General features: G+C 40.2%; 1 protein-coding gene across 50 annotated transcripts in view, besides 3 other annotated features; it reads right to left on the reverse strand.

The window, feature by feature from the left end:
- The window catches only part of HUWE1 (HECT, UBA and WWE domain containing E3 ubiquitin protein ligase 1), a 154624-nt gene extending 131262 nt beyond the window's left edge, over positions 1 to 23362 (reverse strand). For 26 of the 50 annotated variants that reach the window (XM_047441752.1, NM_001441053.1, NM_001441056.1 and 23 more), the window contains exons 1-2: positions 20517 to 20779; positions 16692 to 16829 (exon numbers count right to left, since the gene is read on the reverse strand). The gene's annotated coding sequence lies outside the window, so the exon portion shown is untranslated. Of the gene's footprint in view, positions 1 to 9150; positions 16830 to 20331; positions 20489 to 20516; positions 20780 to 22808; positions 23012 to 23230 lie in introns of those variants that run through there. The other 24 variants (NM_001441048.1, NM_001441051.1, XM_047441751.1 and 21 more) reach the window with 5 other exon arrangements.
- Positions 22706 to 22785: an enhancer, noted in NCBI's record as "active region_29663". NCBI's record gives its function as "activates an Ori minimal core promoter by ATAC-STARR-seq in GM12878 lymphoblastoid cells {active_cell/tissue: GM12878}" and the evidence as "EXISTENCE:reporter gene assay evidence [ECO:0000049][PMID:35858748]".
- Positions 22996 to 23295: a silencer, noted in NCBI's record as "silent region_20859". NCBI's record gives its function as "represses an Ori minimal core promoter by ATAC-STARR-seq in GM12878 lymphoblastoid cells {active_cell/tissue: GM12878}" and the evidence as "EXISTENCE:reporter gene assay evidence [ECO:0000049][PMID:35858748]".
- Positions 23369 to 23543: a silencer, noted in NCBI's record as "fragment chrX:53713671-53713845 (GRCh37/hg19 assembly coordinates)". NCBI's record gives its function as "represses an EF-1alpha promoter that drives an FKBP-Casp9 reporter gene in an ReSE screen in K562 erythroleukemia cells {active_cell/tissue: K562}" and the evidence as "EXISTENCE:reporter gene assay evidence [ECO:0000049][PMID:32094911]".

The raw sequence follows: 25490 nt of genomic DNA on the forward strand, positions 1-25490 counted from the left end.
AAAAAATTAGCCGGGTGTGGTGGCGCATGTCTGTAATCCCAGCTACTTCGGAGGCTGAGGCAGGAGAATCGCTTAAACCCGGGAGGCGGAGGTTGCAGTGAGCCGAGATTGCACCATTGCACTCCAGTCTGGGCAACAAGAGTGAAACTCCATCTCGGGGGAAAAAATATATATATAGGCTGTAAATGGAAGCAGAGAATTATGGGGTCACTGAAATGTAGAGGAAAAGGTAAATAAAGACACTAGCTTATGTTCTCAAGTGGCTGCAAACTGTCTTGAAAAGACGGAGTAACTGTAAGAATCCCTTTGAAAATTGGGGGTAGGGGACCATTTAGCCTCTATTTCACTGTAATATAATAAGCACTTATGCAGGTTTGAACAGAATGATATCCAGAATTTGGACAATCTTCTCCCGAACCCCTCAAATCTTGACTGGATATCCCACCATATGTGATTACATTGTACTCTGTACCTATCACTTCCCTATTTATGAGAAAATGTCTGCCACAGGGTGGGAAAGTTAAAAAAAAAAAAAAACCTGGGAAGGGAAGAAATACACATTATTAGTAGTTGGCCTTTAATGGTTGCCTCTAGCTGGCAGGGTAACACATAGTTTTATTTATGCTTCATGCTTTTCTAATCCTTCCAAATTTCCTATAAATCATGGATCCATTTATAATCAGATTTCCTTTTGTAATTTGTTTTTTTAAAGAAACAGGGTCTCATTCTGTCACCTAGGCTGGAGTGCAGCGGCATGATCTTGGCTCACTGCAGCCTCAACCTCCCAGGCTCAAGCAATCCTCTCACCTCAGCCTCCAGAGTAGCTGGGACCACAGGCACACTCTACCACGCCTGGCTAATTTTTATATTTCTTGTACAGACAGGGTTTTCGCCATGTTGTCCAGGGTGGTCTCGAAGTCCTGAGTTAAAACAATCCTCCTGGCCTCAGCCTCCCAAAGTGCTGAGATTACAGGCGTTAGCCACTGTGCCAGGCCTAAAATTTTCCTTAAGGAAGAAAACACTGGCCCCTGAGCCAAAGGACATGCACCAGATTAAGAACACCATCTAAACAAATGCCTTAGATTAGCTGCTGCCTACTCTAGGAGCTTCTTCCCTACATCTTCTGGTGTTTGGAGCTTGGCACACAGGAGGCACTTTGGTTGATTATTAGCAGGTAAGAGATGTTGCACGTAAGTACGGGAGTGGGGATGAATCAAAATGAGCCTAAAATCCCCATAGAAATCATGGAAGCATTACGGCAGTTCTTAAACAAAAAATGCTTAGAGAAAACTAAACTCCAAAGTACCACAAAGCAAAATACTTTATTTTTTGCCTTGCAACGATTTCCTTTTGCCTTATAGTCTCTGAAAGTAAATTCAGGTGAGAGCTGCCCTGAGCATTCTTCATGTCAACAAGCAGTAAGATGCATCTTGAAATCCAGCCTGCTATTCACTATTTGATTATAGAGGAATAGGTGTCACTGATTATGATTTGTTAAAGGGGACACCACATAATTGTCAGGCCTTTCCATCCTATCTAGTTTCTGATTATCTATTAATACATTAATATCCACTCAACAAATATTGTGAAAAACATTTATGATCATAAAAAAATAGCTAACACTTACTCTATACCTATTGTGCATTATCTTTAATCCTTGGAGATGAAGACTGTGCCCAGTTTACTGAGAGTGGCCACATACCTATTAAGTGGTAAAACGTGGATTCAAACCCAAATCTGTTCCACAACTCTACATTGCACATAATGTCTATATGCACAGCCCACCTTGCTACGCCCCTCTCCTACAGACACCAGTCTCCCTATCCTTAGCCACATAAAACATGACTCTCAAGTGCCCTGAGAACTGCTGACCTAGGTTTTACTGGGCACTGACAGTAAAGTGTCATAATAAAGCAACTGAAAAATAGCCTTTACTCACCCAAGACAAATCTGGAAATTATTTGCAGAAATACCTTGAAGGAGTCTCTCATTTAAAATCTGAAAACACACTATACCTCAGATTAAGAGTTTATGCTGGCTCTGGGTGTTTCTCTGCACTGCAGTTATGCTTAAGCAAGGAAAATATGGGCAGGGAGGGATACTAAGAAAGAGGAATCTGAAACCTCCAATGTTGACTTTGAACGTGAGAATAGTATCTGAGAACACATCTCCTGCCACATCCTCTATTCAAACAGTCTGGGGAAGCTGCAGATCTGGGAGTTATCCTTCCCGGATACTCCCAATTACTTAGAGAAACTGGCATCAGAAGAACTAGGCAACCAAACATGGCTCACCAAAGTTGCAGATTATCAATTTTACCAATACAGAGGAAATGACAGCATGCTAAGGAGCCCTTCTTGGTATTCTCAACAAAAAATAAAAACAGCAATGCCTAAGTGTAAGTTAAGCAAATTAAGCAGGAGAGGAACAGACTCCTTGTCTACACATTTTAAATTGGTACTCTGGAATATTCCTAGTCTACACCTTAAGAATTGTCAGTTTCTGGCTGCATGCCTGTAATCCCAGCACTTTGGAAGCCTGAGGTGGGAGGATAAGCCTGAGGTGGGAGGATCACTTGAGGCCAGGAGTTTTCCCGAGACCAGCCTGGGCCACAGAGTGAGACCTCCGTCTCTACAAAAAATAAATAAAAATTTATAAGAAAAGCCTGCCTGTATCGAATAGGTGAATTTCACCCAGAAGGGCCACAGGCAGCATTCAATGAGTTCAGGAAAGTATTTTCATTTGTCAGAAGTTATTTTAAAATTATCTTAAAAATAACTTACTTCACCCGAGACTTATTTTGAAAACTAAAAATGCCTGACCACACAGGCATTTCAAAGCTATCTAATTCAGTAGGTCTGAAGTGGGGATTATTTTTTTCAAGCTGTACAGGTGATTTGGCAGCACAGGCCAGCCTTGAGAGCCATGGCATTAGATTATTATTCAATATATGCTTTGCCATTCTGTGACTTAGGAACTTGCTTTAATAAAAATAGAGGGGAGGAGCGGGGTATAAATAGAACAATAGCCCTGTGTTGATCACTGTTCAAGCTGGGTGACAGTTACATGGGTGTTCATTATGCTTTTTTCTATTTTTGTATATGTTTTGAAAAGTCTCATAAATTGAAGTTATTTTAAAGTGAGACTTTTTCCTGCTGGATCCATCCATTCTATCCTCCACATTGTTGCCAGAGCAATCTCCCTAAAACTCAAAACCTACCTACATCAAGTACAAACTCCTTATTTAAACCAGCATCCAAGACCTCTAGGACCTGGTCCCTGCTTACCTCTCTTACCAGTGCTATGATATTACATAATATTTCCCTCAGCTCCCCACATGCTTTATTTAGCCCCAACTATATCCTGCATATTGATCCTCAATCAGCACACCTCTTTACTTACCTGACAGTCTCCCCACTATGCTTGCTGAGTTCTGCAAGAGTGGGACTGTATCATATTTATCTTTGCATTCCTGTACCAGCATATGAACTGTCATTTATTAATAGCAGATTAATAAATGAATAACTATCCAGTAAATGCTTAACAAAACTAAAAAAAATCCAAGTCACATTAAACTCTTGGTGAACTGAAAAAAACAATTTAGATTCATTTAACCTTCATCTTTCCATTCAACAATTATAAACATACTATATGCAGGGCATTGAGATGAATACTCAGATAGCCAGGTGTACAGAAATGTAGAAAATAAGGAAAAAAATCAGAAATAAAATAGATTAGAAGCAATCGTAATATAAAGGCAACGAAGTCAATACACAAAAAAAGAGAATTACAACTTCCTCATGCCCAAAGGCTGAAAACACAACCAATTATAAGATCAATACAGAAGATAAATTAAATTTGCATAATACAGAGTATATCTTTAAGCAAAAGTGACACAGTTAGCCAAGCTTACCCTTGACCACTGTGTAGAAAAATAAGTCTAGAAAAATATATACAGTTGCTCTTCAACATATGATGGGATTATATCCCAGTAAACCCATTGTAAACTGGAAATATCTAAGTCAAAAATGCACTTACTGTACCCAACCGACCAAACATCATAGCCTAGCCTACCTTAAACATGCTTGCAATATTTACATTAGAGCCTATAGTTGGGCAAAATCATCTAACACAAAGCCCGTTTTATAATAAATGTTCAATGTCTCATGTAACTTAATATCGACTGAAAGTGGAAAACAAAATGGTTATGTGGGTACTCAAGTATGCTTTCTACTAAATGTGTTTCGCTTTCACACCATCGTAAAGTCAAAAAATCCTAAGTTGAACCATCATTAAGTCGGGGACGCCTGTACTAAGAAATACAAGAACAAACAACATAGCAATTTAGACATCTTAATGACATATAGAGAAAAACAAGTGTAGAGGAATCTTTAGAATTCCTCATCCTATACTGAAGGATGACCACTACAAAAACCCTGAAATTCTGTGGGAAATTTTACATATGTTGGTCTTTTTCCCAGAAGACGGTCAACAGCTTTCATTGGCTTCTTAAAAGGATCTATGACCTGAAGAACATTAGGAACCAATGCCCTAAAGAAAGTTAAGACACTGTCTATCTAGCCATGACAATGTTTTCCCTTGTATTTCCCTTTCATTTATGAAACACAGGTATATGGTATTTTTTTCCCAAAGCCACATGATAGACTACTGTCAAATACAATAAAGATGGTACCAGATACCAAAGAAACAGAATTCCACCCCTTTTGCATTATTCAGCTCCAATTCTCTCATGTCCTTGGGTTTGCAGAGAAACAAGCAGCATCTCTAAAGATCAAACCTCCCCGGCCGGGCGCGGTGGCTCACCCCTATAATCCTAGCACTTTGGGAGGCTGAGGTGGGTGGATCATGACATCAGGAGTTCAAGACCAGCCTGGCCAACATGGTGAAACCCCGTCTCTACTAAAAATACAAAAATTAGCTGGGCGTGGTGGCACACACCTGTAGTCCCAGCTACTCGGGAGGCCGAGGCAGAAGAATCGCTTGAACTCGGGAGGTGGAGGTTGCAGTGAGTCGAGATCATGCCACTGCCCTCCAGCCTGAGTGACAAAGTAAGACTCCATCTCAAAAAAAAAAAAAAAAAAGTAGAGGCTGAAGACTACCACTGGAAGAAAAGTAAAAATGAAGTAAAGGACAACAGCATAATGGAAAAGCCTGGGAAACAGACAGATCTGGGCCTAAATTCCATTTACTAGGTGTGTGATCTTAGACAAGTTGCCATACATCTCTGAGTCCAGTCACCTCTGTAAAATAAACAAGTCTATCTCATAGGATTGTGCCCAGCAAAGAGTAAGCCGTATTGCTATTTGTTCTATTTCTTTTGGCTCCAGATTAATCTAAAGGCAGAAACCTTATGCTAGGTATTCTACAGATTGATAAGACAGAAATACAGATATATAAATCTGATCATATGCAAAAGAGCTGGCCTTCTCAATCTTTCTACACATTACCTGCATATGAAGGAGAACATACAGTATATACTAATCTCCATACTGTTAGCCATAACTGCAGACAACCAACAACTTAAACTCTACTTTGATGACAATGAGATTGGGAGGCTCCAGTTTCATTCTCAAATTATACAGTTCTGCAAAAGGTAAACAGTCTACTAAATAATGTGCAGGCCATGCCACTTAATCAAAAATTTTAACTGGGTCTCAACTGTTTTGAGCTGGTTCAAATGAATTTGGAAGGAATGGAGACAAAGATTCTTTTGCATGGTTTAAAAGAGCAAGTTATTTATAGCAATTATCAACCTGGCAGCAAACTCTTTCCAGGATGTTGAAAAGAATTCCAACTTCACAGGTTTGTTATGAGGCTCAAATTAGTTCACTGATAAGAAAGTTGTAAAACAAAGCCTTTAAAAACAAAGGTGTCCCAACATATAGAAAAAAATGGCTGTCTGAGTAAATTTTATGGTGCTCCACACAGCCTGACACATAGTTATTTCAAATGTTCTTAAATAAACCAGACAATTCTGAACAATCTACTGCTTTAAAACATATCTATTACATGAAAGATGCTTGCTAGAAATGAAAGTGAAGTATGCAAAGGTACTCTAGTTCTCAGCCACCAACTGGCTTTAAGACCTTATGACATTCTGGGCTTCCAACATGATGTAAAATGGAAGTACAATAACTAAGATCCCTTAAAGCACTATCTGTAGTACTTTGCCTTCAGTCTAAGACAAATGTTAAATATTAAACATGAACAATCTGAATTATTTTCAAAAACTAAACAGCTAAAAGTAACCATGCTAGTTTTCTACTTGCCACAAATTCCTAGGTTTTTAAAAAATAAAACTACACTTCTGCAAATAATTCACTTTTAAGCTAAGAATATTTTTAAAGATCAAATAGACTTTGCCAGGAAGAAAAACAGGAGCTACTGGCTAACCATTTGGATGAAAATAAAAGTACACACCTACTTCACACCATTACTTCAGCATAAAAAGCTTAACATAGTATAAAAATACTTAACATAAGTATATACTTAACACAGTAATACTTAACTATAATGCTAAAAGGTGTAAACTATTATTTTGTTTCAATCTTTTTAAAAATAGCAAACATGTTATAGTTTAAAACAGTTGAAAAAAGGAAGGGAAAATAAGATGGACTTAGAAAGCAGCCCTTTAATTTGAAAAAGTTTTACAAGCAGGAAATTCAGTCTCATCTACTGATTTATAGCATCCATAAATGCATGAAAACACATGGCCAAATCGAACTGTTCCATGAAAGAGCTCCAAGTTGATCTCATGTCAGAAAGTAGTAACTACGGTTAAAAGGGCAAAGAAACTGAGCTTTCTTTGGATTTTTGCCTTTCTCACGTTGACTTTCTACTTTAAAATTCCCCTATTTGGGGAGTAACTTTCTCATAGGAAGAGGACCACTTACTTTGTATTTCTACAGATGACACCAGATGGCACATTTAGAAATAAAGTTCAGTTTTAAGGAGAGATAAAACATAGTGAAAACAATACTGGACTAGGTAACCTGGGTTTGATGCTCAATTTCACCACTATCCAGCCATGTTACCATGGATATGTTATTACTCCTACAACTGGGCCTATAAAATAAGGAGTTTGATATGGATAATAGGAAATATAGGGTATCATCCAGCTTTTCTGTTGGACATGAAGACTACCCTTTTAAAGCTGTTGGTAATTTGCTAGAGGGAGAGATCTGAATTCACCCATAAAAGCAGCCTGTCTTTACTTTTTAAAAGCAAAAATCTAAAATTCTCTACGTAAAAGGATATCTTCTAGTGATGTCTGCATCTCTCCAGACTATACTTCCTTTTAAGGCTGGTCTCACCAAGATATTTAAAGAAATGTAAGAAGCCGGGGCCTGGACTCCAGATTGGGTTAACAAACTGCAAAGCCCTCCAAAGTAGAAGAGTCAAACTAGCCCCTGGAAAAATATGGCAGCAGATATGTATATGTCTATGTATATACGTGTACGTACGTATATGTATATACGTGTATATATGCAGTGAGCCATCTACAACGATACTGGCTATATCCAGATTTATACTCTTCTGATTTATCAAGGCTTATCCTGATGTGCTACAATATTGTAAATCATGATGGATCATATACTAAACATATCACAGTGAAAAATGCAAGGTTAGCCTTTCTAAAGGCCAATTTAGCAATGAGTATTAAAAGCCTTACATTTTTACATTCCGGTTGTAGAAATTTCTTAAGGATATAAATATGGATGTCACGCAATGGACTTTGGGGACTCAGGGGGAAAGGATGGGAAAGGGGTGAGGGATAAAAGACTATAAATTGGGTTCAGTGTATACTGCTCCAGTGATGGGTGCACCAAAATCTCACAAATCACCACTAAGGAACTTACTCATGTAACCAAATATCACCTGTTCCCCAAAAACCTATGGAAATAAAAAATTAAAAATATTAAATATGGATCTCATAAATATTTATCTATTAGGATGTACCTATGCTTCTTTCATTCGACACTTATTTACTGAATGCTGAATTACCTGTATGTTAGGAGGCATTACTTAAAATCATGAGAAACTGGGACTGGAAAAGTGTGAACACAGCAAACTGGTTAAATAAATTCTGCATACAATAAAATACAATGTAGCCATTAAAAATGCTACAGAAGCTGGGCACAGTGGCTCACGCCTGTAATCCCAGTACTTTGGGAGGCCGAGGCGGGCGGATCACGAGGTCAGGAGATCGAGACCATCCTGGCTAACACGGTGAAACCCCGTCTCTACTAAAAATACAAAAAAAAATTAGCCGGGCGAGGTGGCAGGCACCTGTAGTCCCAGCTACTCAAAAGGCTGAGGCAGGAGAATGGCGTGAACCCCGGGGGGCGGAGCCTGCAGTGAGCCGAGATCGCGCCACTGCACTCCGACCTGGGCGACAGCGAGACTCCGTCTCAAAAAAAAAAAAAAAAAAAAAAAAGCTACAGAAGTATACATAATGACAGAGACATGGAACGGGTCAATACGTGGGAAGAGCAAATTTAACAATACCATTTCTATACTAGTTTGGAGAAAACAGCTTGAAAAAAGACAGTTTGGGGACACCTGAGGGAAAAGTATGAACACAGCAAAAGGTGTGAACAAAGCAAACTGGTTAAATAAATTCTGCATACAATAGAATACAATGTAGCCATTAAAAATGCTACAGAAGTATACATAATGACAAAGACATGAAACAGGGGTCAATATGTGGGAAGAGCAAAGTTAAAAATACCATTTCTACACTAGTTTGGAGAAAACAGCTTGGAAAAAAAGACAGTTTGGGGACAACTGAGAAAATGTGAATATGAACCGGATATTAGATAATATTAAGAAAAAATAAACTCCCTAGGCGTGATAATGGTATTGTGGTTTTGTAGATGTCCTTACTTTTTTTTTTTTTTTTGAGACAGAGTCTCACTCTGTCGCCCAGGCTGGAATGCAGTGGCGTGATCTCAGCTCACTGCAACCTCCGCCTCCTGGGTTCAAGTGATTCTCCTGCCTCAGCCTCCCGAGTAGCTGGGACTACAGGTGCCACCACACCCAGCTAATTTTTTTATTTTTAGTAGAGGCAGGGTTTCACCATGTTGGCCAGGCTGGTCTCGAACTCCTGACCTCAAATGATCCACCCACCTTGGCCTCCCAAAGTGCTCAGATTACAGGTGTGAGCCACTGCGCCCGGCTGAGATGTCCTCATTCTTAAGACATGCAGCTGAAAGATTTAAGGATAAAGTGTCATCCTTACTTCTAATGTTGAGAAAAATTAAACACACATCTGTACATATAAATCTAATATGGCAAATACTTAATTGTTGGATCCAGCTGATGGTATACAGATGTTCATTGTGCTATGTTTTCAGCATTTTTGTTTGAAATTTTTCATACAAAATTGAAAGCTGGAAGGGAGGTAATGAATTACATTTTAAAAAGAGCATTTCTGAAAAAATATATAATATGGCTACAGAGCAGTTAAGAAAAGCCTTCGAAGAAGATACTGCATACCAAAATGTTAAGAGTATTTTATCTGTGAGTTTGGGGTTTGCGGAAATTTGTCTGTTTATCTGTATTTTTCAACAATAAGCCATGTATAATTCTACAGTCATGAAGATTACTTAAAAACAAATTCAGGAAAACGTTTTCAAACAAGAGTTAACAAGAAAATGAGCAAACGAAAAAAAGTTCTATTCCCAAAGCATTCTTACTAAAATCAGAATGCTTCTTACAAACTCTAAAATACTGTACAAATTTAATATTATTTAATAATAGGTTTTTGTGTGGCCACCACATCGGTTTTGAACTTTTACTTACATTCATAATTTATACCATTCTCACAGTAGAAAAATTCAAGCAATTCATTGTACTGATTGTAAGGGGGGAAGGGAATGCTGGGTATTAAAAAAGTATCTCCTGTTTACCTATACAGGTTAAGTATCTCCTATCCAGTGCTTGGGACCAGCAGGATTTCAGATTTCAGATTCTTGAATATCTGCCTATACATCATGAGACATCTTGAGGATGCGGCTCAAGTTTAAACATGAAATCCATTCATGTTCCATACACACCTTATACATACAGCCTGAAGGTAATTTTACACAATTTCTCGTATAAATTTAGGTGGCACAAGTACAGTTCTGTTACATGGGTATATTGTGCAGTAGTGAAGTCTAGACATTTAGTGTAACCATCACCCAAATAATGTTCGTTGTACCCTATACAATATTTTTAATAATTCTGCTCATGAAACAAAGTGTTAAGTACTTAGGCGTAGAATTTTCCACTTGTGGCATCGTGTTGAAACTCATTTTGGGGCATTTTGAATTTTGGATTAGGGACACTCAACTTGTGTTACTTCCAACTCCACAAAAAAATGTAAGGCAAAAATAAATGTTAAAAATGATCAATTCTGGAGTGGGGGTAGGGACAGGGATTGTTGTATTATTCTCTGTACTTCTCAGTATATTTTTCAGAAGTAGAAATGCACATATTACAGAAAAAGGTAAAGTTCCCCACGATCCCTCCTCCCAAATAAAGTTGTCAGTTTGCCATGGTTTTTTTTAAAACATAAATAGCATCACATAGTATGTACTCTCTTGCAACTTGCCAAAATTGCCTCCAAAATAGCTGTATCAATTTACGCCACTTGTAGGCAGTATTATAAGGCCAGACTCTTCCTTATACCTTTTACGATGACTTGATATTATCAAATTATTTTTTATCAATCTAATGACTAAAAATGACCTTATTTAAATTTGCATTTCTGATTATTAGTTTGAGTACCATTTCTTGTTAGTGGACGTTTTTAGTTTCCTATTCTGGGAAATGCCTATCCTTAAAATTTCCTACTAGATTTCTTTTCTTATTCCTTAAACACTACCCTTATCATTAAGATGTGAATACACCAAAATGTTAACAGTGACTAAACATTGTGGTGGAATTATGTATATCCTCTCCCCAAATATGCACACATTTTCTAGTTTTTCCTGAATTCAGTGATTAAAAACTAGAAAATGATAAAATGGATGAAAAAAATCCTTTTAGACAAAAGCATTAACTTTCAGGATACTCTACTACAGGTTACCCTTAAGGAGGTCATAAAATCTAGCTCAAAGAAATAAATGCATCTAAAGAGTAAGTCTTGTGAAGAAATGAAACAATAATGGTTTGAGACTATTGATTCATTTGGGGTACGTTTAACTAACTTATTTGTATAGCATTTTTGAATTCATGAAGTACTTTTCATTTATCTTGCTTAACCCTAACAAAACTCTGTGACATTCTCTGATGCCTTCTTGTAAACTGCTATAGCACATTTTGTTCATTCCTCATATTACCATACTGACCCTTTTGTGTGATTTGCAAGTCTCCTTCCCCTAGACCACACTGTCCTACATTCTCCAGTCACTTATCTTTGTATTCCCAGGATGTAGCTGCAATGACTACGTCCTCAATAAATATTTGTTAAATGAATATCACCATCTTCATTTAAAGGATGAGGAAACTGGCTCAGTGATGAGGTAATTTGCCCCAAGTAACATAGCTACTAAGTATTTTATATAAATTATAATGACCTTATCTTCGTACTTTACAAGCATTTAAAAATACATCATCTCGCTTTAATGCTCACAGCAACCTATGAAATAGGCTTTCCGATTACTGTTTTATAGATAAGAATGGAAATTTAGTGATATACCCTAGGCCCACTCGAATCCTAGTTTATATGAAGTACAGCTGTTTCTTTACATTGTACTTGATCACTACCTGGGTATGGGAGCCTCTATTTTTATGTACCAAGTACATTAAGGGTAGGGTATAGGGGAGGAAAGATGGAAGTAAGGCAGTTTAAAGGCACAGGAAAGAGGCTGGAGCCCAGGTGTACAGGCCCATCTAAAGACCATAAACTGGTATTGTAATGTCAACTGCACATGCCACTCTGAAATCCAATATTGGCCCAAAGGTTTTTCTTGATATTACCCTGTATTAATAGAAGACAATTGTTGGCTTTCTCACATATCAGCAGTCTCAAAGGCTGGGGAGGCACACAGAATTAGGAAAGCTGTGAGAAACAATGGACAGGCTATATCATGCATAGACAGTGCAGGGGAAGAAATGATGACACAAAGGAAAAGGCTAAGGAACTTTAAACATGATTTCACAGTCCTTAACTCGACTGTGAGTTTCTCAAGGGCAGAGACCAAGTCTCATTCATTTTATGTCCCTTACTCCTTATACTTAGCAACATTCAGTAAATGTTATGTTAAAAGAAAAAAAAAGATATATTAAGCTAAAAACTGAACAATGACTTCCATTTATTCAGCAGCACTTATTACATGCCACAAACTATACTTTAGATATTATGTGTAATGTTTAAAAAAATAAGATTTACCTGTTTGCTGACCTGCCATGCATGGTGCTGCCCAAATGTGTTAACAGTGGTGATACTGATGACTATTAGGAATACTTATTATAGGTTACTAAGGTTACAACAGAACCTTGAACACCTTGAATAGGAGGGGCCAGTATAGACGGAGAGAGATCAAGGTAACCAATGTAATACACATTACAGAACTAGCTAAGACCCTTCAGAGGGTATAAATGTGACTCCTAAGGAGTTCCAAAGTGAAAAACTACTCTATGGAACATTCAGTTATCACTGGCCAAAGTCTCAGACCCAAAATAACTCAAGAACAAACCCTATCCTGCCTCACCACTGATGATCCCACACAGACCTAAAGGGTCCAGACACATTTTGTTAAATGGCCATTATTTTCACCACCCTGACTGCCCACCTCTGAGCTGTTGAAGGAGTTAAGTAAAATAGTACATTAAATAAATTACCATCTACTGATCACCTACCATGTACTAACACCTTACATTTTCTCTTTAATTCCAATAACCATATGAATAAGGTATTTCCCCCCACATCATAACTGATATAGGTTAACTTGCCCAAACTGACAGACCTAGTAAGTGGCCAGGCCCCAAATCCGGAACTGCCTGGGCTCCATGATCTTCCTATGATTATCAAGGCTTCTCAAACCTTTCCACCTTAACTCTAATAAAAAGGTAGAGAAGAATGAAGAGGCAGGCTAGGGAGGTTAAGTGGAAAGAGAAAAGTGGAACTTGATAGAAAGTTCCAAGCTACCCTTGGCAAAAACAGAATTTCTTTTGACTTCACCTTTTATCTTAATCCCATTAGCTAATTCCAGGTCTGGGGCAGAAATGCACAAGAATGCGCCTGGAAACATCTTGACATACCAGATAGCAAGGAAGCTATCAAAGACTACTAGAGAGCATGTCAGTAAGAATCAGGAGCCAACTTTAAGAGAGTTCCACTAGCCACAAGAAGGGCAATTTGAACTTCGCTAAGGATCAGAACTGCAATGTATTGAAACCCATCAAATGTTTACATCTATGGATGCATAGTTATATATACACTTATATGTGTAACCTTTTGAAGATGACAGGGGACCAATTCATCATCTTGAAAGCAATGTTTTAAAAAATTGAGTATTTATCCTGCTCTTCCTATATAAACTATATTGCTGAGTAACCAAATAAAAGATGAGGGGAAACAAAATTATTCCAGCTAACAGATGAAAACAAAATGATAGCATCAGAACGTCACCATTTTGTAGCCCCCCAACAAATTAATGGATCCAAAAAATTCAAGTCATCGTAACATAATCAATGTTGTGAATGAACACCCCCCCACCCCACCCCCCCGCAATATATTTGCCAAAGGGAACGAACCTGAAATTTATCAAGTCTCTGGATCCAGCTGCCAATTTGCAGGAAATAGAGAAGTATCACCTGGGAACTTATCAGAAATGCAAAATCTGGGGCCCCTCCTAGATCTACAGAATCAGAAACTCTGGGAGTGGGGACCAGCCAATCTTTTAGGAAGTCCTCTAGGTGATTCTGATGTTCCCTAAAGTTTCAGAACCATTGTTCTAAGCACTTTATATGCATTAACTCAGCTAAATTTCTTCAGAACTCTATAAGGCAGGCAGTATTATCATCATTTTACAGATGAAGGACCGTGTGGCACAAAGCAGTTAAGTAATTTGCACAACATGACACACCTGGTAAGAAATGGGAGTCAGAACTTGAACTCTGTGAATCTAGCTCCAGAGTCCATGTTCTTAATCGCTGTGCTGAAAGGTCTTTCCACCTGTAAGAACTCAATTGTCAGAATGCCGTAATAAAGAATATTGGAAGTTTAAAAAAAAAAAAAAAAAAAGCAAAGACCAGGAGAAACATGCCTCACTATAAAATAGACAGGAATATAAGAAAATAATCATAGCAAATAATGTACCCAAAGTAATCTTCCAAAATCATTCCAAAACATTAACAGCCACCAAATGTAATATACCCACGCACTTCTGGGGCAATTATCTCTGATATCTAATCACAAGGACCTAAAACCTGGATTGTGCTAAAGGTGGTACATAAATTCATGACAGTATCCTCAGACTCATCAATCTTTTAAATCTAAATGGTTATAGTGAAAGGTCATTCCAGAATAATTCATCTCCCTACTTTTAGTCACCATTTACTTAATGACTACTGAAAGGAAAAACTGCTGTCTTTCAATACCTAAGATTATACCATCAGAATCTCAGAGTTGAAGAATTTTAACATTCATCTAGTTCAATCAGCAATCCAGACTGAATCAGATCTACAATCCCAATCTCCACGTAATGGTACATTCATAATAAATTAAAACATTCCAACTTTCTGTAAAATCACATTATGGGATCATTCTATGCCACCAACTGTAATTTTTAAAGCCAAATGACTAAAAACTTTTAAAGAGAACTTAAAAGTTGAAAATGCTCAGGTTAACAGCCCAAACAAAACCTACAGTTGTTTTACTCATAGAGCCACTTCTTCACTACCTGAAAGGATTTCTATATCCAGAAGACCAAGCTGGTCAACAAGTACATCAAGTTTTAACAACACCACCTATGAAACATCAAACGACTTAAAAGTTGAGTTATTCCTGACATTAACATATATAAACATCTAGTAACCAGTCGTTGAGGAAACAACGAATAATACAGCAAAACACCAAAAGCCCAAGTACTTATGAATATCAACCTTATAGATAGTGAGATCATCATAAAGCAGCCTAAAAGTCCTTAAAGGACTTTATGCTAAGGAAACATAAATTTCAGATGAAATGAAATGAAAAATCACAGTAGGAAAACTAAGGTTGTGTATAATAGCTGAAAATCAACATGTAAGTAGAAGCTCTCAAAAACTGTTTTAGTATTGCCATTTCAAGAACTGTATGACAGCCAGGAACTCATTATTAGGTCTTAATAGCTTAGAAGTTATGGGTCAGAACAGCTGAGACACTAACATCAAAAGAATAAAAAGCAACATTATAAAGTAGTATAAAAATAACTAAATCACCTAAGGAAATTGAAACCATGCATGAAAAACCCCAAAGGCACAATCAGGTCATTAGGAAACACTAGCTTCTTCCACCAGGAGGCCTACTTTTCATGTGGAGCAATGAGCAAGGCCAAGACATGGAACTGAAGTCAGGTATCAAATCAGACTTTGCCACAGAAAAAGGAATCCATGACTAGTTATTTTAGGATAGTGCCTATGACAGCACTATCAACTCCAACTAGGATACAGGAGATTATAGCCATTGTTCCATTATAATGGGTCCTCCAGGGTCTTTAATTGAGCAAGAATGGGTTAGACACCACTACTGGGCTGTAATCCCCAAATATGGGGGGCGGGAAACTATATATAGGACAATTTCTTCAACAAATAAATTGGAAGAAAAAAAAAACAAAAGACAGAACCTGCAGATTAAAATAGATTTAACAGCTGTATCAATGCTTTGCAATAAATGTGCTTTCTCAGGATCCTGATTCAAACAAACTGTAAAAGAAAAAAAACAAAGCTTAAAAAAAAATCAGAAATCTGAACATTTTATATTTGATATTTTTAAATATCTGTTAATTTTTTCAGTTGTGATAATAGTTTTGATCTTATATTTAAAGAGCCCTTGCCTTTTAGAAATACAAACAAGTATTTTACAAATAAATATGACAGGGATTTATTCCAATATAATCCATTGAGGGGGGCAGTGGTTAGAAGTATAGATGAAACAGGCTGGGCCTGGTGGCTCACGCCTGTAATCCCAACACTTTGGGAGGCCAAGAAGGGAGGATGGCTTGAGCCCAGGAGTTTGTGACCAGTCTAGGCAACACGATGAAACCCCATCTCAATTTAAAAAAATTAAAAAAAACCAAACAAACAGAAGTATAGATGAAATAGAATGTGCAAGTTGATACTATTAAAGCTGGTGATGGGTAAGTGGGGGGATTATTATACTATTCAATGTTTGCATGTTTGAAATTTTTCGTAACTTTAATAAGAACTGGTTAGACATAATGACTTGCAATTTTATTTTTTGAACGATGCCTAGGGTGATTTAAAAAATCATGTACAGACATCATTCATTTAAACAATTCCCTTTAATTCAGTAATGAGCTCCACTTTAAAAAAAGAAGCAACCAGTACCACATCAGATCCAGAGAATGGAAGAAACCAAAGTAGCTCCATTACAGAATGGGAATACATCCACCCCTACTATCTCCATTCCAGGAAGTAAAATACAAATACTTCCCACAAGATTTACAAAAACTAACCTAAAATCACAGCCAATCATACTCATCCTGGTGGGAAATTCCCCACACTGCTCCAACAGCTTCCCGAACCTTCCTGACCAAGTTGGCCTGCTGGTTTCTCTGGATCACTAACCCACTCAGGTCAGGCTGCTGGAGGACCTACAAAAAAAAAGTTGGGGGAGAGGAGTGAGATACACAACACATTTATTAGGGTGTGTGAGGAGGGTTAACCATTCTATTATGTTCAAACATAACTAGTTATTATTTCTAAAGCAATAGTCCTTACATATCTATTTGCATTTTTTAGGACCTGCTTTGAGAAGTAACTGAGGAATTCAGAACCAACAACTCTAATACTTCTAACGCTTAGACAACATTCCTGAAAACTGAGTTCTCAACCCAAATGAAATTATAGAAGACAGTTTATTTTTTAGACAAGTTTATACCCTCAATATAAACACTAAGGACGTATTTGTTTCATTGTTTCTGTGAAAAAAAACAACAACTGTACATATAAAAATTATTCTTCACCTTCATACATGCTTTTTGGCCATATTGGGAGACAAACGATAAACATCCTGGCAACTCAGGTTGAACTTTGCCATTGAACCTTAGACAAAGTTTTTATTTGGTATTGTCACTCCTTCCTCTCTTCTCAGAGATCTACCTAGAATAAGTTAAACTTTTAGGTCACACCTAGATTATCATTCCCAGATTTATTCTATTGCTCAATAAGGGTCAAATTGAAATTGAGGTTTAATAAATTTGTGATCACTGCTTAACCCACGGTAAAATGCACCAATGCAAAATCTCAAAACAGAAAGTGATTTCCTGCCCTCCAATGAAAATGGAAGAAAATTTTATTACCTACAAAGCACTTCAAATTAAATAAAGCAGTTTATTTCGAACTGAAGTTCGAAACTAGAGTCCACATACAGCTAATTGTGGGATGGTTACCTCCTGTAAATTTTAAATCCTAGTAAACTTTTCACCACGTTTCTACTTCAATTCCCATCACCCAGCCGAAGTAAAATAATGGGGATAGTTGTGCTTGTATTAAAGGGTTGTTGCTAGAATTAGTTAAAAAAAAAATTGTAAAATGCTACACTTTAATATTGGTCTAATCAATATATTAACAGTAAGGAAGCCTGTAATCTCAGCACTTTGGGAGGCCGAGGCGGGCGGATCACGAGGTCAGGAGATCGAGACCATCCTGGCCAACGTGGTGAAACTCCGTCTTTACTAAAAATACAAAAATTAGCTGGGCATGGTGGCGCGCGCCTGTAGTCCCAGCTACTCGGGAGGCTGAGGCAGGTAAATCGCTTGAACCCAGGAGGCGGAGGTTGCAGTGAGCCGAGATCGCGCCACTGCACTCCAGCCTGGCGAGAGCAAGACTCCATCTTAAAAAAAAAAAAAAAAAAGTAAGGAAAACTTTCTCCAAGTCAAATAGTCACATCTGTTTAATAAGTACGTTAGAAAATATAAAATGGCAATAACACAACAGGAAGTAGTGTATTAAAGAGCCAGCAGTAATTTGCTATGGAAAAGAAGCTGGGTATTCCAAATGATCTTTCTCTCTCGGACAGGAATTATCTTGCTCAGGTAAGAAGATGCCAAATAGCAGATCCCCACACTGATCTGAGGAACCAAACAAATGAGGGAGGTGAAAAGTAGCATGAATACTTCAAAACTAGCTAACAGAAGTTCCTTTTACCACTGTGAAATGCATGACACCAAATTACTTTTGTAGAGTGAATGACAGGACAGACTGCCTTTGAAGGAGTGGAAGAAATGAGTAGGCAGGGCATGAGGCACCCCTTCCAAAAGGTAGAACACTTGGGTGTGGTTCTTGACAGGAACATTATGGCTGGTGGTCATTCCAGGATAGTGATTACGCACTGAAATTCCTAGACCATTAGAAGGAAACAAAGAGTGGGAATCACGTTCAAACATCATGAACCACTGGAGATAAAAAGTTTGGCCTATGAGGAAAAAAAATATAAACGTTATAGATCTGGCCTAGAAATACACCAAGAATGTACAGTTAAAGAAACAAAAATCTCTTACTCTTTCCCAGGTCATAAAATTAGCATATGACACAGGTACATCTACCAATGCATTCTTACACCAAAAAGTAATCCTAATTTATTATGTGCCTACCATGAGCTAAACATTTTATTTTATTTTATTTTAACTAATTCTAGCAACAATCCTCTAATGTAAGCACAACTATTCCCATTATATAGATGAACTGAGAATCTGAAAATTTGCCCAAGGTCACAAGGTTCAATGTGAACCCAAAACACACCCAAAACACACACTATTAATTTCACCATACCAGACCGCCGCCTATGACTGGGGAATGTTGGTATCTCCTCAATCTATGCAACACTGGGGCTAAAAGAAAACAATGCTGAACATGTAATCTACAAAGGAGAAACAAATGATAGGGAATTAACTGCCTATAGTAACGGTGGCATGGGGGGAAGAGGAAATAAAGAACAGGGCAGACTGGGGGGCAGGACAATCAATGCTGTTTTCTAGTAAATGGAAGGGGTAAAATGTAGTGGAGCCTGAGAGGAGGGTTATCTTCCTTCTAAGGGATTCAGCTCCTGGAAAAGGAGTATGGGGAGTGGGGGATAGAAAGATTAAGAAGTGAGAAGCAGGTAAGAGGTGCTCAGCAGCAAAAATAGATGTCCACAGACCAAGAGGCTCCAGAAACTCAGAGCAAGGCAGGGAAAAGGGGCGGTTCCCAGGCTTGCAGGGGAAATGGAAGAGGCAGGGAAGACAGAAAGCGGGTTTACTGGAGAGTTATCCTCTACAGCCTTCTGAGGGGGAGGAATGAGGAAGGCAAGGCTAATGGCCGTAAACGAAAAGGCCACTTAAACTGCAATATCCAAACACCGACCCGTTCATAGTTTCGCTTAATAGTGGTTTAGCAGCATGCAGAGCTAAGAAATCCGGATCAGAGTCATACAAACATGAAGACTTGAGGAAATGGAAGGCTACTATGGCACCATCCACAAAGATGGAGTAAATGCAGGCAACAGGATAAGCTCTATTCAACGCCTGCGCCAAGGGGACCAATGGAAGGGGGAGACAGAGCGGGCTAGAGGACTTAGGCTAAACTCGAATTTAGAACTGGGGAAGGAGTCACAGGGAAAAGCTTTGACTCCCCCCTCCCTTAAATACCAGCCTCAACTATCCACGTAGATGAAGATTAGATGGGACGACAGAATTAGGAGGGGTGTGGGGAGAGGAGGAGGAGTACACCAGTGACACTACTGCTTGAACCCTAAGCCTTAGCTCTAAAACCGCGAGAGTTGGCGAAGATGACCCCACCTCGAGAAAAACCAGGGTATTCATCCGGGTCGTCGGAGGTGCTGAGAACGGAGGTTGGCCGGCAGAAAAGGTAGGGGAAAGGGGCCACTCTTCATTGGTTGCTCCTCTTTCCCACCGTTCAATTTAACCCCCAACCCCACTCCCCAGCGAACTCCAGACTCCCCTCCCACCCTTCCCAATCCGCCCACTGCGGCGGCGACAACGGAGGCGTTGACCGATCGGTGGGGCAAAGGCGGGCCCACACGCGGCCGAGGCCCAGGAAATGGTGTCGCCTCAACGGACAAGAAACGAGGTGGTCTTCGCCTCAGGTCTAGTTTACCGGCACCCCGGCGTTTCGCCAATCGTCACCTCCTTAACGCTGGGCACCTCAGAGGCGTCATAAAGGCAGATAGCCAACACCTCTGTGCTGGGTCCTGGCCGGACAGACATCAGCCTCCGCCGCCATCTTAACAGCAGGCGGACCGACCCTAGTCACTGCCCCCCCACCCCCCACCCGCGAGCTACCTCAGCCACCGCCAACGAATCCCACGAGGACGTAACCCTGCTCCCGCGAGAATTCTCCGGCTTAGAACGGCACGAGCCGAAGACCTTGCCGCCGCCTCCGCGGCTACTGCAGTCAGTAACCGAGCCACCGCCGCCTCCGCGCGATCCCGCGAGAACCTCTACCGGACGGGAAAAGCCTGAGCCCAGCCCTTTCCAGACCCCTCCTCCCTCCCACCAAAGCCGAAGTAGCTACAGCTTCACCCTACGCGAAGCGAAAAGCAAATGACGCACAACCTAACGAAGCAGTGAGGGGCGGAGCCAACCTACCACGGCCGGCTCCCGCATGCGTTGAGAACTATCGCGATATTACGCTTTAGCCTCGGCGAGACCTTCTTAATTCACCGCAGGATGCCGCCCGCGCCTCGCCTTTAGGAAACATGAGATATCGCGAGACCTGGTGCACACTCCTAAAAAGGAGAAAGGCGGAGCTTCATGAAAATGACTGGGAGTTTTTCGGGGGAAGGGAGGAACCCTCCCGTCCTGCAGGGATCTCGCCTACCACGAGGTTTCCGACCCACTGCGGAGCTGGCTGCCAAACCTCGCGATGACACAGCTCAGCGCCAAATCTCGGCCATGTCCTGAAAACTGCCTCCGCCCCCGATCTAGGTGTCTAGAGCCTAGTGCTTGAGGAAAATTTAAAAAGTCAACCTGTTTATTCTCACGCTTCCGGGCAAGGCTGTACCAATTAGCCAAACTCCATTCTGGAAGCGGAGCAAAGAGTCCCCCATTGTTACCTGTCTCCAGGAATAACATATTATCCTGGACTAACATTTAAAAGACGTTCAATCTCACAGTAAGCACACAAATGCAAATGAAAACAATGACATAACATTTTTTGCCCATTAGATAGGGAAAAAAATTTTTAAACCTACATTATCCAGACTCCTTCCCTCGCCGCACTGCAGGCTAACCTGAATCCATCTTAATCTAACTAAAGGCCATATCATTAGTTCTAGTTCCAAAGCCACCAATTTTAACTACTGAAGCTTTACCTTGGCATAACCAAAAAGATCCAATAAAGTGGTTTTCTCCAAACAAAGGAGTCTGCCCTCAAAGGAATATTCAAGCTTCGGGGATGGGGGGAAATGCCTGAAGCTTTTAATATGGCAGTTTTTCCACGTCTAGCCAACAGTGTTTCTCCAATAAATCTTGGGATCCAATCTGGCTTGATTTGTGGGCTTTTCCATTCTAATGCATTGTTCTGTCCGTTCTAATTTAAATAGTTCCTTTAGAGTACATTTTAATAGCCAGTAGTACAAATATCCCTATCTTTACTTACGTTTTAAAATATTTTTTTTCAGTTATTCTTAGCCATTTTTTTCCCCCGGATGAACTTTAGAATCATAGTAAGTTCCAAAAAAACTTGGTATATTTATTGAAATTGCATCAACTGTATAAACCAATATAGGAAAAATGGACATCACTAAAATATTGAGCCTTCTTATTCAGAAGCATAGTATTCCTTCTCTTTTCATGCAGATGTTCTTTTATGGTATTCGTCAATAAAGTTTTATAGTTTACTTCTAGGTATTTTTATTCGTTTCTCTTGCTATTGCGAACAGGTTTTTTATTATTAAAATTTCAAAATGCTTATTGCTTATAGATAGGAAAACTGCCTATATAAACTATTGATATTTGCCTATTTACAAACAAAAATATGATCAATTTCGCCAGTAATCAGGGAAATGCAAATGAAAACAATGACATACGATTTTTTTGCCCTTTAAATTGGCTAAAATTACAAAGATTGATAATACGTGTTGGCATAACTGTGGAAAAATAGGCACTCTCGCACAACATTAAAGAGTGTAAATTAGTACAGGCTTTTGGGAAGGCAATTTGGACAAATCTATCAAAATTCAAAATGCATATACACCCTGACCCAGCGGTTACTCTTCTAAGAATTTCTCCTACAGAAATACTCATACATGGCATGATACATATACACAAACCCATTCATTATGGCATTGCTTGTAATAGTCCCCTCCCTCCCCCAACAGAGAAACAAGCTAATGTATATCAATCGGGAAATGGTTAAATAAACTGTAGTACAATCATACAATGCAGCTGTTTAAAACCCAACATAAATTTGGATTCCCGGATATAAGAAGATCTACAAGACATATTCTCAGATTTTTAAACAAGCAGTTAGTCGAAATGAATGTGTGTGTGTGTGTAGTACCATTTAGATATCAAAACATATATATGCAACGCCTAGTAGTTACCCGCGAAGCCTGCCTGCCCGCCCCTCACCTTCCCTCTCCTCTGAGGCCGCCTTCCTCGAACCAGTGAGAAACGCTGAAGGCCCGGCCTCTACTCTCTCTTTAGGGCCACTTGGCCATGGCTAATGCCGGTACCTCGCATCCCCTCTGTCAGCCGCTCTCTCGCCGCGCCGCCGGCAGCTGCCGGGCTGCCCCCGAAGATGCGGCTAGCTCTCCGCTGGCGCCTGCCGAGGCCTGGGGGAGGGGAGAGGAGGCGGGGTTCAGGGAGGGTTGGGGCAGGCCGCCCTGCCCCTCCAGCAGCCTTTCCCGCAGGCTCCCCAAGGCCGCCACCTCCGCGCCTCCGCGCAGGGTCCCGTGGGAACTCCCCCCCCAACCTCGCCACTGCCACCCGCGAGAAACCGAGAACGGCCGCGCGTACAGAGCTCGCCCTCCAGCCCAGGGATAGACGCTCACCTCGGCCGCAATGGCTCCGCGGGGCCCGCAGGAGCGTGCGGGGTCCGCGGCCCTGCTTCAGCCCTGCTTCAGCCCTGCTCCAGCCCTGCTCCAGCCCTGCTCCAGCCCTGCTCCCCTCGCTAGCCCTCAGTCGAAAGCCTCCTCGCTTCGGCTCAGCTCAAACTCGATTTGGGGCTCCACCCACCGCAAGCGAAGCCCCGCCCCTGCCCCTCGGGAGGGAGCTCCCTCCGCGGTGAAGTCGGGTCCCTTGCAGGGGACCGCGCCTGAGCTACCCAAGGCCCAGTAAATGCAACCATAGAGGATGATAGGGTCGCTAAGAATTGGGATTTGATTCGAGGCACGGTGGAAGCCGCGGAAGGGAACATGATTTGATCTGATTTACCTTTAAAAATTAACGACCTCGCCAGATGCCTTGTGAAGAATGGGGAGTGTGGGGCAAGAGGGCAAGGCTGGACCCAGAGCGGAGGGTGGGAGACGACGTGGGAAGCCGACCACCCAGAGTTCACGCGAGCAAACCCTTAAAACACTTCAGGCACATAGTAAGCCCTCAATAAACATTCTTTTTTCCTCCTTTAATTATTTGGAACGGCAGTGCGATTGACAAGGATCCTGTAGAGGATCTGCATCTGTAAATACATGGGAATAAAAAGGACCTGGTGGGAGATCACCTGTTAACCCTACTTAATTATTGTGGGCTGCGGACGACATTGGAGGGGCGAAGAACTTTGACTTGGAACTCTAGCTACTTCGATAAGGTTTCAATTTTTAATAAAAAGTATGTATTAATTTAGTATTTAAAGACAAAAGCACTATTAAAAGAACTCCTGAGACATCGAGGAAATAAAAACTGTGATTATACCCTCCACTTCTCTAATTCCAGCCCTCCAGAGCAGTGGTTCATCCCTCGAATTGAGAATCTAATGAATGGGTCCCCCACCCCAATATATACTTACACATAAAATTTTGTATATGATCTCAGGAGATGTACAGGGCCCCTTCGAGATACACTGTTTCATTGAATATTTTTACAATTTTTTTTTTTTGAGACAAAGCATCACTCTGTCACCCAGGGTGAAGTGCAGTGGCACGGTCACGACTCACTGCAGCCTCGACCTCCTGGGCTCAAGGATCCTCCTGCCTGCCTACAGTCTCCCAAGTAGCTGGGCCTCCAGGTATGCGCCACCACGCCTGGATAACTTTTTATTTTTTGTAGAGGCGGGGTCTCACTATGTTGCCAGGCTGGTCTCAAACTCTTAGGCTCAAGCAGTTCACCCGCCTCGGCCTCCCAAAGCGCTGGGATTACAGGCGAAAGACCCGGCCCATCTGTAACATTTAGTGGCAACATGAAGCTATACTTTCTTTAGCATGTAATTAACTTCGGTTGTTCTTTTTTCATTTTAAAATTGGTTTCCTAATTACACATGATTATTGTAAAACACGGATAAATTTAAAGTTCCCCTTACATTCATATACACAAATAGAAAAGCATGGCTTTGTTTTTGTTTTTCATTTAAAAAATAAATAGCATCCTTTTTATGTATTGTTATGTTAATTGCTTTATTCACTTAATGTAGCTTGAAGATCTTTCCATGTCAATATATATAAATCTACCTCATTTATCTTACCTACTGCATAGTATTCCATTGAATGAATATACTGTAATCATTCATCTATGGATAAACACATGTTATTTTCAATCTTTGACTATTACAGTGGGGTTTTTTTTTTACTGTTAACAATGCTGCAATAAAATTCCTTGTACATGCTTTTTTCTGCAGATGCTAAAATATTTCTGTGAGATAAACATGGAGAAATGAAATAGTTGGATAAAGGTAGCACACATTTTTTTTTTTTAAGATAGTGTCTCACTGTCACCCAGGCTGGAGTGCACTGGTGCGATTAGGGCTTACTGCAGCCTTGACCTCCAAGGCTCAAGCGATCCTCCCACCTCAAGCAATCATCCCACTTCAGTCTTCCCTCGAGTAACTGGGACTATAGGCGTGTGCTATCACGCCTGGCTAATTTTTGTATTTTTTGTAGAGATGAGGTATCACTACGTTGCTCAGGCTGGTCTCAAACTCCTTGGCTCAAGTGATCCTCCTGCCTCGGCTTACCAAAGTGCTTGGATTACAGGCGTGAGCCACTATTCTCTGCCCAAAGATAGCACATTTTGAAATTCTAATACATAATGTCAAATGACAAATTGCCACGTAGAACGACTATTTCAGTTTATACCTCCACTAGCAGTGAGTAAGAATTA

Source organism: Homo sapiens, chromosome X (assembly GCF_000001405.40).
Source record: "Homo sapiens chromosome X, GRCh38.p14 Primary Assembly".
NCBI classification, from domain to species: domain Eukaryota; kingdom Metazoa; phylum Chordata; class Mammalia; order Primates; family Hominidae; genus Homo; species Homo sapiens.